This window comes from Homo sapiens, chromosome 6, assembly GCF_000001405.40.
Source record: "Homo sapiens chromosome 6, GRCh38.p14 Primary Assembly".
NCBI lineage: Eukaryota > Metazoa > Chordata > Mammalia > Primates > Hominidae > Homo > Homo sapiens.
In genome coordinates this window covers 56379593-56395515 of record NC_000006.12, presented here as the reverse complement: position 1 = coordinate 56395515, position 15923 = coordinate 56379593, and the positions used below count along the sequence as shown (strand labels likewise).

General features: G+C 40.2%; 1 protein-coding gene across 2 annotated transcripts in view; it reads left to right on the top strand.

Moving 5' to 3' along the window:
- The first annotated feature begins 1387 nt into the window (after positions 1-1387).
- Positions 1388-15923, top strand: part of COL21A1 (collagen type XXI alpha 1 chain) — a 337539-nt gene continuing 323003 nt past the window's right edge. For both annotated transcript variants that reach the window (NM_001318752.2, XM_011514924.3), the window contains exon 1: positions 1388-1545. The gene's annotated coding sequence lies outside the window, so the exon portion shown is untranslated. The remainder of the gene's footprint in view (positions 1546-15923) is intronic.

Here is a 15923-nt window from a genome sequence, read left to right as displayed (position 1 = left end):
TTTCATCTGCAGATATGTTGGTGTTCCAAGTAGACAGGGATTGTGGCTCTACCCATGTGCAAACCTGAACCTATGGGGATGCTGTTATCCTGAAGTTTTCCGGAAAGGCTGTCTATGGGTGCACCCATGCCGACCTCCTGTGGGAGAAGACCCAGCTGTGTCTGTAGTGGTGGATAAGGGGGAAAATAATTCCCCTTCTTCAAGACACTTCATGAGCACCAGGGCTGCCAGACCATTGTAGAGTCACAGGCTTCTCCTCAACCTCCTTAGCCCAGCACTTCACCTGTGCCTCTGCTGAAAGAGATTTTCTACAAGCAGAAAAGTTTTGGGACTTAAGGCCTGCCACCTGGATTCTTTTGTCCCATGGGGTGTTCCCTTAATGTGGTGCACTCCCCCTTCCCCTAGGAGTAGGAGTCCCTGAGAACCAGACTACTGTGAATGCTGCTGCTCCTCTGGGTCTAGCCACCCAGTGGAGTTGCCACACTCAAGGCTAGTACTGGGGAATGTCTGCAAGGGATCTAGTGATGTGATCTATCCTCAAGTCTCTCAGTAGCAGGTACCACCAGCAGCACTGGTGGAGGTGGCAGGGGGGTGACATAGACTCTGTGCGATTCCTTGGTTATAAATAACCTTACTGTGTTGGCTTTCTCAAATGCCAGTTGTAGTCATGATGAACTGGTCAAATGGACACTCAGAACTTCCTAGTCAGCCCGCTTGTTACAGGCAATGGCGATAGCTGAGGTCATGTACAAGTTTTCTCCTTCCTGGGCACTTCATTATGCTACCCGGAGATGCTGCAATGGATTGTGTCAGTTGGCCTCCAAACAGGAGGTGATGCTTGCAAGAGAACACCAGCTGAGGTGGTAGTGGTGGGATTTGTGCTTGCCTTATGTTACCCAGGAGAGGTACTTTGGTCAGTTTCAGGCAATGGGCTACCCCATAGAGCTCCCACAATTTCTGTCCTTTGTGTTGAGCTGCAAAAGCAGATAGAGGGGTAAAGCCAGGTAGGTGCTGGGTCAGGCAAGTCCATGCTCTAGCTCTGCATGTGTAAGACAAGCAGAAACCCCAGTGGAGGTCTGTGGCCAGCTCTCTGGCCTCTGGGGTTATGTTCCAGGAAGTAGCACAGCTGTCTCTGTTGCACAGAAGTTTACATCGGTAGTGGGGAATAGCAGGTAGAGGTAAGCCACACTCAGCTCCCACACACTTGGCAAGGCAGGCCTCACATCCGCAGGGTTCCACTAGCAGCAGCTAGCTAAGTTCCAGGCAGTCTGGGGGCAGGACTCAAAACTGCCACAGGCCATAAGCTTTCCCAGTGGAGATAGCAACCATAGCTTTCAGGCCACGCCCCTCCCACTCCGCCTATGAGGCCAGGGCACCCAGCTCCTGCATTGTGGCTGCAGCACACTTCCCACTCACACCCCTGGTTCTGGCCAAGGGAGTTCATACCCACTCAAAGATTATATTACGAATTTCAGATGGGAGCTTCTCTCAACCTGCAGCCACCACATGAGTTAGCTGGCCGACTTCTGTGAGGTTCCCAGTGAGGTAGGATCAAGAATGGCTTCGGTTCATACGGGTTGGAGATTGGGCATGCATGTGAGGCTCTTCTCGCCGTTTCTACTTTTGTATTTCCCACCGCTCTCTAAGTCAGTTCCATTACTGGGTAGGGTTCAGGCCTACTCCTGTGGCCTGTATTGCCAGGTCCGCCAGTAGGAGTGTGAGTCCTGGAGGCAGTTTATCCCTCTGGGGACTAGCACACTCTGGGGACTGGCAATTTTCTACCTGCCTCATGGTGTAGGCTGCAGCCTGCCGCTTATTTCAAAGGGCCTGTGGTTTCTTTCAGTTTTCCTGTTAAGTTTGTGTTGCTCCTTGGTAAAATGTTCACAGCATGAATCTCTATACACTATTTTGTCTTTCCAAGTGGGAGACGCATGCTAACAATTCCACCAATCCACCATCTTCCACTTTGTTGATTGTTTCCTTTGCTGTGCAGAAGATTTTGAGCTTAAATGTGACTCCATTTATCCATTTGTGCTTTGGTTGTCTGTGCTTTTGAGGTCTTACTCCAAAAATCTTTGCCCAGACCAATATTCTGGAGAGTTTCCCCAATTTTTTCTTTGTGTTGTTTCATAGTTCAAGGTCTTAGATTTAAGTCTTTAATCTATTTTGATTTGATTTTTGTACATCGAAAGAGATGGGGTCAAGTTTCATTCTTCTGCACATAGATATCCAGTTTTTCCAGTACCATTTATTGAAGAGACTGTCCTTTCCCCAATTATATTCTTGGCATTTTTGTTGAAAATGAATTGACTATAAATCTGTGCATTTATTTCTGTGTTCTCTCTTCTGTTCCATTGGTCTGTTTGTCTGTTTTTGCCAATACCATGTTGTTTTGGTTACTATAGCTCTGTGGTATAATGTGAAGTCAGATAATGTGATTCCTTCAGTTTTCTTTTTTTTTTTTTGCTAAGGATTGCTTTAGTTATCCTGGGTCTTTTGTGGTGTCATATAAATATTAGGACTTCTTTCTTTTTCTGTGAAGAATGTTATTTGTATTTTGACAGAGATTGCATTGAATCTGTAGATTTCTTTGGGTAGTTGAACATTTTTAACAATATTGATTCTTCTTCTCTATGAACATGGGAATATATTTCCATTTTTTGTGTGTCCTCTTCAATTTCTTTTATCAATGTTTTATAGTTTTCATTGTAGAGATCTCTTACTTCATTGGGTAAGATTATTCCTAGGCATTTAATTTTATTTGTAGCTATTATAAATGAGATTACTTTCTTGGTTTCTTTTTCAGATTATTCACTGTTTTTAGAAGTGCTGCTGAGTTTTGTGTGTTTATTTTGTATCCTGCAAATTTACTGAATTCGTTTACTGAATGAGTTCTAGTAGTGTTTTGGTGTCATCTTTAGGGTTTTCCAAATATAAGATCATATTATCTGCAAATACGGATAGGTTGACTTCCTCCTTTCCAATTTGGATGCCCTTTATTTTGTTCTCTTGTCTGATTGCTCTTGCTAGGACTTCCAGAACATGTTGAAAAAACAGTAGTGAAAATGGGCATCCTTGTCTTGTTCCAGATCTTAGAGAAAAGGCTTTCAGTTTTTCCCCCTTCGATATGATACTAGCTATGAGTTTGTCATATATGGCTTTTATATTGTTGAGGTATGTTCCTTCTATACCCATTTCTGAGGGTTTTTATCATGAAGGGATGTTAAATTTTATCAAATTTTTTTTGTCATCAATTGAAATGATCATATGGGTTTTGTCCTTTGTTCTGTTGGTATGATATATCACATTGATTGATTTGTGTATGTTGAATTATCCTGGCATCCATGGGATGAATCCCACTTGATCATGATGCGTGATCCTTTTAATGTGTTGTTGAATTTTGTTTGCTAGTATTTTGTTGCGTCTATGTTCATCTGAGTTATTGGCCTGTAGTTTTCTTCTTTTGTTGTGTCTTTGTCTGGTTTTGATATGAGGGTAATAGTGGCCTCACAGAACAAATTTGGAAGTATTCCCTTCCTGATTTTGGGGAATAGTTTGAGTAGGATTAGTATTAGTTCTTCTTTAAGTGTCTGGTAGAATTCAGCAGTAAAACCATCAGGTCTTGGGCTTTTCTTTGCTGGGAGACTTTTTAATTACAGTTTCTGTCTTGTTACTTGTTGTTGGTCTATTGAGTTTTTGTATTTCTTCATGGTTCCATGTTGGTAGGTTGTATGTATAAAATTGTATAATGTATCCAGTTGTTCTATAACATCTATAAATGTATCCAGTTTATCCAATACATTTATACATCTATAAACATATCCAATTGTTCTAGGTTTTCCAACTTATTGGCATGTGGTTGCTCATAATGGTCTCTAATAATCCTTGAATTTCTGTAGTATTCGTTTTACTATCTCCTTTTTTATCTCTGATTTTATTTATTTGGGTCTTCTCTCTTTTTTTCTTAGTCTGGCTAAAGGTTTGTCAATTTTGTTCATTTAAAAAGGTTTTTAAAAAACTTTTCATTTTATTGATACTTTGTGTTTTCTTAGTCTCGTTACATTTATGTCTACTCTGACCTTTATTATTTCTTCTATTAATTTTGAATTTGATTTGCTTTGCTTTTCTAGTACTTTATGATGCATTGTTATTTGTTTGAAGTTTTTCTGCTTTTTTGATGGAAGTGTCTATTGTTATACACTTCCCTCTTGGTACTGCTTTTGCTGTATCTTGTAAGTTTTGGTATGTTTCACAAAATTTTAAAATTTCCTTTTTAATTTCTTCATTGACCCAGTAGCCATTCAGGAGTGTAATGTTTAATTTCCATGTGTTGGTATAGTTTCCAAAATTCCTCTGTTACTGATTTCTAGTTTTATTCTATGGTGGTTGGAAAAGTTACTTGATATGATTTCAGTTTTTCTGAATTTTTTGGGACTTGTTTTGTGACCTACCATATGGTCTATCCTTGAGAATGTTCCATAAGCAGAGGAGAAGAATGTGTATTTGGCAGGTACTGGATCAAATGCTCTGTAAATGTCTATTAGATCCATTTGGTCCATAGTGCAGATTAAGTCTGATGTTTCTATGTTGATTTTTTGTCTGGATGATTTGTCCAATGCTAAAAGTAGGTGGTTGAGGTTCCCAACAATTATTGAATTGGGGTATATCTCTCTATATACCTCTAATATTTGCTTTACATATCTGTATGCTTCAGTATTGGGTGCATATATGTTTACAAGTGTAATATCTTCTTGCTGAATTGACCCCTTTATCATTATATAATGACCTTGTTTGTCTTCTTCTTTTTTCTTTTTTTTCACAGTTTTTGTCATGAAATCTATTTTATCTGACAGTACAAGTGTAGGTACTCCTGCTCTTTTTTAGTTTCCATTTGCATTGGATATTTTTTCCATTCCTTTATTATCAGGCTGTTTGTATCTTTATAGATTGAATTTCTTGTAGGCAGCATATAGTAGGGTCGTGTGTGTGTGTGTGTGTGTGTGTGTGTGTGTGTGTGTGTCCATTCAGCCACTCTATGTATTTGATTAAGGGATTTAGTCCAGTTACAGTCAATGTTATTATCGATAGGTAAGGACTTACTACTGCCATTTTGTAATTTGTGTAAAAGTGATTTTCTCTGGTAGTATGTTTTAATTTCTTGCATTTTTGTATGTGTGTCTCTGTTATATGTTTTCATTTTGTGGTTATCATGAGGCTTGCAAATAACATCTTATAACCAATATTTTAAACTGATGACAATGTTGATGATTGCAAAACAAATAAACAAACAAACACATAGCAGAGAAAACTAAAAAAACTCTGCACTTTGTCTCCTACCTCTTGACTTTTTGTTGTCTCTATTTATATCTTTTTATATTGTCTATCTCGTAAAAAGTTGTTGTGGTTATTCTTTGATTGTTTTGTCTTCTAGTCTTTCTACTAAATATATGAGTGGTTTACACACTAATTGTAGTGTTAGAGTATTCTGTATTTGTTTGTGTATTTACTATTACCAGTGCGTTTTATACCTACAGATGATTTATTGTTGTTTATCAATGTCCTTTTCTTTAAGATTGAGGAACTCCCTTTAGCATTTCTTATAAGACAGGTCTGATGTTGATGAAATCCCTCAACTTTTGTTTGTCTGGGGAAGTCTATTTCTCCTTCATGTTTGAAGGATAATTTTGCTGATATAATATTATAGGTTGGAAGATTTTTCCTTCAGATGTTGAATATGTTATCCCATTCTCTCTTGCCCTGTAAGGTTCCACTGAAAAGTCTGCTGTGAGATGTATCAAAGCTCCTTTATATGTTATTTACTTATTTTCTGTTGTTGCTTTTAGGATCTTTTATCCTTGACCTTCGAGAGTTTGATTATGATATGCCTTCAGGCAGTCTTATTTGGGTTGAATCCACTTGGTGTTATATAACCTTTTTGTACCTAGATGTTCACATCTTTCTCTAAATCTAGAGGGTTATGTGTTGTTACTTTTTTGAATAAACTTCCCACCCCAGTATCTCTCTCTACATCCTCTTTAAGGCCAGTAACTCTTAGATCTGTCATTTTAAGTCTACTTTCTTGATGTTGTAGGCATGCTTTTTTTTTTTTAATTTTTTCTCCTTTGTATATTTTTTGTTTTGTTTTGTTTTGTTTTTTGAGATGGAGTCTTGCTCTGTTGCCCAGGCTGGAGTGCAGTGGCGTGATCTTGGCCCACTGCAACCTCCACCTCCCACGTTCAAGTAATTCTGTCTCAGCCTCCCAAGTAGCTGGGACTACAGGTGCACGCCACCACACCCAGCTAATTTTTGTATATTTAGTAGAGATGGGGTTTCGCCATATTGGTCAGGCTGGTCTCAAACTCCTGACCTCAGATGATCCACTGCCTCAGCCTCCCAAAGTGCTGGGATTATAGGCATGAGCCACCACGCCCAGCCTCCTTTGCATATTTTTATGTAGTCTGTCTTCAGGCTCATTAGTTATTTTTTCTGCTTGATCAATTCTGCTCTTGGGAGACTCTGACACGTTTTTCAGTTTGTCAATTGAATTTTGCAGCTCCAGGATTTCTTGTTGTTTGTATTTCTCTTGGTACATTTTTTCTGATAGAATTCTGAATTCCTTCTCTGTGTTATCTTGAAATTCGCTGAGCTTCCTCAAGACAACTGTTTTGAATTCTGTCTGAAAGGTCACATAGTCTATTACTCTGAGATTGGTCACTAGTGCCTTATTTAGTTTGTTTTCTGATGTCAAATTTTCCTGAATGTTCTTCATGCTTGTGGACATTTGTCAATATCTGGGCACTGAAGAGTTATTTATTTCTATCTTTGCAGTCTGGGCTTGTTTGTACTCATCCTTTTTGAGAAGGACATATTCAAAGAAGATTGAGTGTTGTGATTTAAGCCTGTAGTCACTGCAGCTGCAGCTGTATCAGCACTGGGGGCAGAAGAGGACAGGGAGTTCCCCAAATCCAGAAGCACTGTCACTCTTGCCAACTCCTAGAGGCACAACATTGGACAGCATTGGTTGACTTGGGTAAAATAAGGGAGAATTCCTAGGTTATCCTGAAAAGTCTCTTGCTTTTTTCTCTCTCATTCCTCCAATCAGCAGGAGTCTCTGACCATGCTGGGCTGCCTGGAATTGGCAGAGGGGATGTAAGCACTCCTATGTCCACCACAGCTGGCACTGTGCTGGGTTACACCTGAAGCCAATGCAGTACTGGGTCTCACCCAAGGCCCGTAGCAACTACTGCCTGACTACTACTGATGTTTATTCAAGACTCAAGGGCTCTTTAGTCAGCAGGTGGTAAATCCTGCTAGGACTAGATCCTTCCCTTCAGGGCAGTGTATTTCCTTCTGGCCCAAGGTGGGTTTAGAAATACAATCCAGGAATTAAGGCTTGCAATCAGGGGCTTTGGGAATCTGCTTGGTGCTTTATTTTACTGTGGCTGAGCTGGTACCCAAGTTGCAAGACAAAGTTCTCTGTACTCTTCCCTCTCCTTTCCCCAAGTGGAGGTAGTCTCTCTTGGAGCTGAACTGCCTGGAGCTGGGGGCGGGATGATGCAGGCACTCCCTTGGCCTCCACAGCTGGTATTGCACTGGGTCATGTGTACCCCAGGTCCACTGCTTATCAGACCAGGTCAGCACTAAGGCTTGCCCAAGGACTGTAGTTTTTGTGGCCTGACTGCCACTCAAATTTATTCTGGGCCACAGGTCCATGAGTCAGCTAAAGGTGGAGCCAGCCAGGACTTCTGCTGGGGATAATTTCCCTCTGGTCCAGGGCTTATCTAAATGCTCCCTCCATGGGTACCAGCAGAAATCTGTTTTGGGTTGTGTTTCACAACACTGTGACAGGGCTACAGGGAGTTCCAGTGCAAAGTCCCACACACTCACTTAGGTCTCTTTCTCCCAAGCACACAGATTCTCCTTCCACATGTATAGCACTGAGGAGGGCTGGGAGAGGGGTGGTGTAGGCAATGCAAGACTGTCTTTCCTACACTATTCAATGCCTCTATCCTTAATATTATGTTAAAACCAGGTACTATGATTGCTTACCTGATTTTTTTTGGTGTTTGTGAAGGTGCTTTCTTGCATGGATAGTTGTTCAATTAGATGTTCTTTCAGGGGGACAATTGCTGAAGGGTTCTATTTGGCCATCTTGTTCTGTCCTCCTCTTGCACAGACTTTAAAAAATAATTCTCATTGGAATCCATATTCCCAAACAGCATGATAAATCCCTGGTGCTTGACTTGTGGAATGTTATGTAAAACAGGGTGACGAATATTTAGAGGCTAACATGGTTTAAATTAATTCAGTTAATTAACAATTAATTTGTAAATAATGAGATTGAATTGTTTTCATTTAAATTTTGTCCTGTCTCAGCTGTCCCTGAAATCAGAGGAGCTTATCCTTAGAAGCATTTAACGCATGCAACATCAGTTTTAAGGAGCCTTGAGTAAATTTCACTTGATAAACCCTTTTGACATTTGCAAGGTGAGTTCACTTTTAAGAGGGAATGTTTGTGCTGGGAAGCACTCTAGGCCATCTGGCCTAACCCTTTCATTTTAGGAATGAGGGAGATGGAAGGGCTTTCACTTCTCCCTTTCTTTCAAACCACCACATTCAGCTGGCTCCAAATTCTTACAGTTTTACTTTCTAAATATTTCTCCAATTCATCTTTTTTTCCCTTTCCCTACTGTTTGTTCATGAGGTCATCAGATTTAATCTGGAAAACTGGCTTTTCTACTTTCTTTTTGCTTCCTTTAAAATCCTTCTTACATACAACCTTCAAATTCAGTTATTTAAAAAGAAAATCATAAAAAGATGCTCAGAATCATTAATCACTAGGGAAATGCAAATCAAAGCCATAACGAGATCACTTCACACCCCTTAGGCTAGCTATAATATAACTTAAAAAAAAACAACAACAACAAGTTTTATCAAGAATGCGAAGAAATTGGAACCCTCATACCTTGTTGGTAGGAATGTAAAATGGTAAAGCTGCTGTGGGAAACAGTTTGGGGGTTTCTTAAAAAGAACTACTACATGACCCAACAATTCCACTCCTAGGTATAGTAAAAAAATCTGAAAACAGACATCAAACACTTGTACATAGAAGAAACTGAAAGAAGGCACCCAAACACTATGTATAGCAGCACTATTCACATTAGCCAAAAGGTGGAAACAACCCAAATGTTCATCAACGAATGAATGGATAAACATAATGTTTCATAGCCCTACAATGGGGTATTATTCAGCCATAAAAAGGAATGAGGCCAGGTGCAGTGGCTCATGCCTGTAATCCCAGCAATTTGACAGGCTGAGGTGGGCAGATTGCCTGAGGTCAGGAGTTTGAGACTAGCCAGGCTAACATGGTAAAACTCCATCTCTACTAAAAATACATAAATTAGCTGGGCGTGGTGGCAAGCGCCTGTAATCCCAGCTATGGGATTGACTTATGGAATGTTATGTAAAACAGCTTCCTGTTTTACATAACAGGGAAGCTGAGGCAGGAGAATCGCTTGAACCCGGGAGGTGGAGGTTGCAGTGGGCTGAGATTGCACCACTGCACTCCAGCCTAGGTGACAAGAGCGAAATTCCATTTCAAAAAAAAAAAAAAGGAATGAAGTACTGACACATGCTGCAACATGGAAGAACCTCAAAAGCATTATGCTAAGTGGAAGAAGCCAAACACAAAAGGTCACATATAGTGTAATTCCTTTTATAAGAAATATTCAGAATAGGTAAATTCACAGAGATAGAAAGCAGATTGAGGGTTGTCAGGAGCTGGGAGGAAGGGAGGGGGAGTGGCTACTCAATGGGTACAGGATTTCTTTTGGGGTGATAAAAATGTTCTGGAACTTGATATAGATGGTGGCTGCACAACACTGTGGATGTACTATATGACACTGAATTATATGCTTTAAACAGTTAATTTTATGTTATGTGGATTTTATCTCAATTTTTTAAAAATGTCAGAAAAAGTGGAGGAGGAAGACTAAAAAAAAAGAGTCAGAGTGATACAATGTGAGAAGGACTCGAATTGCCTTTGCTAACTTTGAAGGTGGAAGGGGCCATGAGCTAAGGACTGTGGCCATGCTCTAGAAGCTGGAAAAGGCAAGAAAATGGTGTCTCCCCTCAAGCTTCCAGAAAGGAATGCAGCTCTGCCAACACTTTGATTTTAAGCTAGTGAGACCTGTTTCAGACTTCTGACTTACAGAACTGTGAGATAAGTTGATGTTGTTTAAGCAGCCCAAACAAAACGAAGCAAAGCAAAAGACCTGTAATTCTTAGCATATGACATCACCTCCCACCAAAACTTTTCCAAGATACTTCATTGCTACTAAAAGACAATACACCATGAAAGCCACACTCAGATTTGATCCCTACTAACCTCTCCACGAGTCTAACACGTCACTCCTGTTGGCGGTGCTACCCTTTCTAGTGCTTCCTTTCCATCACCCTTGGCCTGATTTTCATCTGCTTCTGCAGGACTCAGTTGAGACTGCTCCTCTCCAGGTCATGTTAAGTTTCCTTCCTCAGTGCTCCATAGCATCTCGGAAGTGTCTCTATCCTTGCAATTGTGACCTTTGGCTTATGTGCTGATTATGTTCTCCTGGAGGTCAACATATATCCTTGAAGCCTCAGGACCTATACCACATCCTCCCTCAATTCCTGCAGAGCATAGTGCTTATAAAAGTTTGTTGAATGAACAAGTGTACAGAATTTAGTCCACAGAGGAAAAGTGGCTTATAAGTGTTATTAGCAGAAGTGGGGTTGAGTCTTCTCTCCAGGCTGGTGCTCTTACCAGCCGCCTAAAAATATTCAGAAAAAAAAAATTTGCCCTGTAATATTATCAGATAGTTCTACACAGAATCTGTTGTTTGTGGGCCAGAATACTTAAGAAAATATTACTCTTTCTCCTTGTACTTTTCCTTTCCCAGTTCCCCGAATGTAACCAAACCCTTTGGTGTTCTTTTGGCTTAGAAAAAGTTTTTATTATGGACCAGAAGCAGAAGTTGTCAGTAAGAATTTATCTTCCTGGCTTTTCTTTTCCTAAAGCCTCAGCTTTGACAAGTTTATGCAAAACATTTTAAGGACAATTAGAAGGAGATAGATTTTTTTTCCCACAGATCAAAATAAAAGGTCAAAGACATGTAAGTATTTGAAGTAGATGAAAGGGGAGAAGGAAAACCCATGCCCTATTGCATGGTCAAGGCCTGTGCAATTGGAAGGACCTGCCAGGGAGGGTGTGAGAGTGGTAGTTGTACCTTAGGTACTGTACCCCACTCATGGTGCAGAAGCAAATAAATGCCTGTTCAAGGAAGCACTCTGGGCTTGGCTAACGAGGATGACAGGGCACTAGGGAGACACCAATCATTAAGTGTCTTTCCCCCAATTTCCATGCACTGCCTAGCCTCTTGGACTCTGGTGTGACTGTATGCTGAGAAGGGGCTTTGGAGGGATGGATGCACCACAAATTAGTGCGAAGGGGGCTAAGAATTGTGCCTAGTTTAATCTAAGGAAAAAAATTAATCTATATTTCTCACATCTTTGGATTTGTGAACTAAGATTAATACACACTTAAATATTGATAAATGGATGAAAGCCTCGAGCTATAGAGGAAAGGGGGATCAAAACGAATCCCTCACCCTCAAATATCTCTTCTCGAGACCTGTTTTATTGCCTGAAATTATCACATTTTGGTTTTTTTAAAACTTATTTTAATAAAGTCACTGAAGGAGGCAAGAGTATATGTTGCAAGGACTGTTGAATAGAAAGCCAAAAACCTGGGTCAATTCCTAATGCATTGAACCAGACTGTGAAGGAAGTAGTTTGACTTTGATGTTAGCCCTCTGGGTGGTGCTTCTGCCCACTTCCTCTGCCCATCTCCAGAATAAGCTGTGTTTTCAGGCCTTTTCTTTCCTTATCAGAATCTGTGAGAATAACCCGGGAAAGTTTCAGGAGACCTACTCTGTCTTCAGGTACCTACCTGGGTTAGGAGAAGGAGAAGAAATGAATGTGACACATAAAATCATTAACAGACATCAACACTGTAGTGTGGAATAGTTTATCAGATCATCCAGTCACCTAAGAAAACAGTTCTTGCAATGGAATGAATATTTGTGTCTCCCCAAATTCATATGTTGAAACCTTAATCCCAGTATGATAGTGCTTAGCAGTGGGGCTTTGGGGAGGTAATTAGGTCATGAGGGTGGAGCCCTTATAAATGTGATTAATGCCCTTATAGGAAGGGGCCAGAAAGCTAGCTAGTTCTCTGTCTGCCACGTGAGGATCCAAGGAGAAGGCAGCTGTCTGGAATCTAGAAGAGGGCCCCTATCAGAACCCAACCATGCTGGCACCCTAATCTCAGACTTCCAGCCTCCAGAACTGTGAGAAAGTATATTCTTATTGTTTAAGTCACCTAGTCTATGGCAATCTGTTATAGCATCCTGTATTGACAATGTTTCAAGGGAACAGTGGTTAGAAAGGAGAAATTCTGATTAATTGGGAGGAGGAGGAAGTTATTAGCAAAGGTTAGGACTGTGAGTACTGTTGAGGTATGGGTCGGGGGACTATGTGAGGAAATGTGTGGCTGCAGAGTAGACTGTTCACAACCAATATGGCAGAAGCACCAGAGCCTCTGGTCTAAGGAGAGGCAGTGCCTTGGTTTGGGCTGCCATAACAAAATACCATAGGATGGGTGGTGTAAGCAATAGAAATTAATTTTCTTAGAATTATGGAGGCTGGACATTTGACATCAGGGTGCCATCATGGTTTGTTTCTGGTGAGGGCCCTCTTCCTGGCTTCCAGCTGTTTTTTTGCAGTGACCTCACAAGACCTTTCTTGGTTCCTGAGCCTAGAGGGTGAGGGAGAGGAAAGGATCTTCCTCTCTTCCTCTTCTTATAAAACCACCAATCCTATCAGATTACTGCCTCTCCCTTATGACTTCATTTAGCCACAATTACCTCCTAAAAGCCCTATCTCCAAACACAGTCCCTTTGAAGGTTAGGGCTTCAACCTATGAATTTTTGGAGTGGGCTAAGGGGGACACAATTTAGTTCATAGCAGACAGAGAAAGAAGGAGGTGGGAAGAACAGAGAACCTATCTCATAACTTCACCTCCAGTGATATTCGTTTCTTCATAACGCTTTCCTCTTTAAAGAACAACATATCCACTTCATTTTTCTAATGGAATTATGAGAATATAGAGAGTACAGTGCTTTTGTTTTTACACAAAAGACAAATGTTTTCTAATAACCAATGGTGAACTAGAAGGGAGGCCTTGAGCATTCCAAACACATTTCTAGGGCACCAGAACTCACAAACGTGGGATTAATCACCAGACACTGAAAATTCAATGGTACTATTGTGTAGATGACACATAATAAATCTCACCAGTCCTGACAGGCGTGACCTATTTACTGCCCTAGTGGTGGTAAAATCGAACCCTTGTCAAACAGGATGCTTTTGTTAGTTCCTTTTTACAGTTTAGTATCCATGTCATCAGGAATAATTTGCATCTAGGTCACAGATTCATATCTGTTGCTGAAGTCAAATTACTGGTGAGGAAGATTGTGGGTAAGGAGAGGCTTTTGCGTGGTGGCATTGTGCAAGAGTGTTGCTATCAGAGTCTGAAAATCAACCTTCACCTGAGATTTGACAAGTTGAGGTGCTGGAAGTGTGACTTCCAATTTGGAGTCAGTTTGTCACTTTCAGCTTCATTAAAATACAACTGTGGACAATCTTAGCTGATAATTGACAAAACATTCCTTATTTTGCTAGAAGGTTGGTTCTCATTCTTTTAGGGATGCTCCCAGTCAAACTTGATTAAAGGGAAAGTTTTATATAATTGTTAAAAGCAACTTTTGTAGCTTATGTTCGGTGAAATTTAATGTGACACCCAAAATATAACAACACCCTTGCTGTGTGTTTTGTAACAGGAATAGTGAAAGCTTTCATGCATTTCTTTGTAACTGAGGCCATGGGCTTATGCCATCATCAAATAAATATTTCAAGGATAAAGTGAAATAGTACCCCAGAGAGTCTAATTGTGCTCCTTTGAAGTAACAGTCATATAATCTCTCTTTGCCTCTCTACCAGGTGGGTTTTATTTGAGCGGATGGAGAGATAGCTTGTTTCTGCTTGGGCAGAGGTCCACAAACCAGATGGCAGGTAATATCTGAATTTAGGTGTCTATTCCACTCATTCATTTTTTCCCCTTTCTAACTAAATCACAACAACCAGAGGCATATAGTAAATATAAATTCGTAAACTCGACCACATAAAAATTAAAAAAATTCTTGCCCCCAAAATAAGCAAAATTAAATGACAAATGACAAACTGGACAAGATAATTTCATGGTATAAACAAAGAGTTAATTTCCTAAATATAGCAGATTGGCATCATTTATAGAACATAACATAGTTATGTTCTATAAAGTCACTGAGAAACCTGAATTAGCGACTGCTGAACTATTGCTCCTATGGGAAATAAAGGGTTAGTTCCCTGTGAGAGCCTTTGGTCACAAGATTTTCCTCAACCAATCAATATGTAACGTTGTTCTGTATGTATTTCTATTTAAAGACACCTTACCGAATACATATTATTGTTATGTATTTTTTAGTATATAATGTTCATTAACATTGAACTCATGGCCAACAGTGCTATAACTCATGCATTAAAGAAGCTTATCTAACACCTGGATTTTCTCCATAGGCACACCACAGCCTTCTCACCCTTAGGAACACTAGACAGCTCTGCAGCCCTACATTTAGGGGCCATTTTCAACAGCAACATCACCAGTAAAAAGCACAAAAATGTGGAAAATGTGGAAAATATGGCACTAAATAGACCATGAAAAGGACACTTGTTTACAGTATGAGAACTGGAACAGGAAGGCAGAGAGTCACCTTGTTTGACCTCAGCTAACAAATGTTTTGCTGCTCTGTGCCTGTCTGTGAGTGACCACGAAGGCCCTGTGAGTATTGGTTTGAAGATTACAGATAATTTTATTGAGTAGATTTGCAAAAAAGGAATTCATGAATAATGAGGATCAATTTTATATTTAAAGGGTTTACAAAAAGCAATATGAAAAAGACCACCTGCCCATTAGAAAAAATGGGCAAAGGCAGTCATATTAGTCCATTTTGCATTGCTATAAAAGAATACCTGAGACTGAGTAATTTATAAAGAAAAGCGGTTTATTTGGCTCACAGTTCTGCAGGTTGTATAAGAAGCATGGTGCCAGCATCTGCTCAGTTTCTAGTGAGGCCTAAGGAAGCTTATAGTCATGTGGAAAGAAAGGGGAGCTGCTGTGTCACATGGCAAGAGAGGGAGCAAGAGAGAGGGGAGGAGGTGCTAGGGTCTTGTAAACAACCAGCTCTCGTGTAAACTAGAGGGGGTTGCACCAATTCATCACCAAGGGGATGGCATCAAGCCATTCATGAGGGATCTACCCCAGGATCCAAACATCTTCTACTAGGCCCTACCTCCAACACTGGGGATTGCATTTCAACAGGAGATTTGGAGGGGACAAACACTCAAAGTATATCAGTAATGAATAGACAGATCTCAAAATAGGAAAGACAAATGACTCCTAAATATATGAACAGATGCTCAACCTCCCTCATAATAAGAAAAATTATCACATTAAGTTAAAATTATATTGAGATGCCATTTTTAAACCTATCAGATTATCAAAGATAAAGAATTTTAATAAACTATTGTGTTGAAGAGATAGTGAGGAAATAGGCACTCTCATACTTTGCCTATGTGTGTATAAAATGATACAATATTAAATACGAAATCCTATGCTCTTTCCCATGACCACGTCTGGTACTTGGGGATACCAGAGTACTCTTTTCCCTACCCCTGCCCCTTTAAAATTACAGTTTTTGATGTTTATGTACATATGTTTCTAGGCAGGA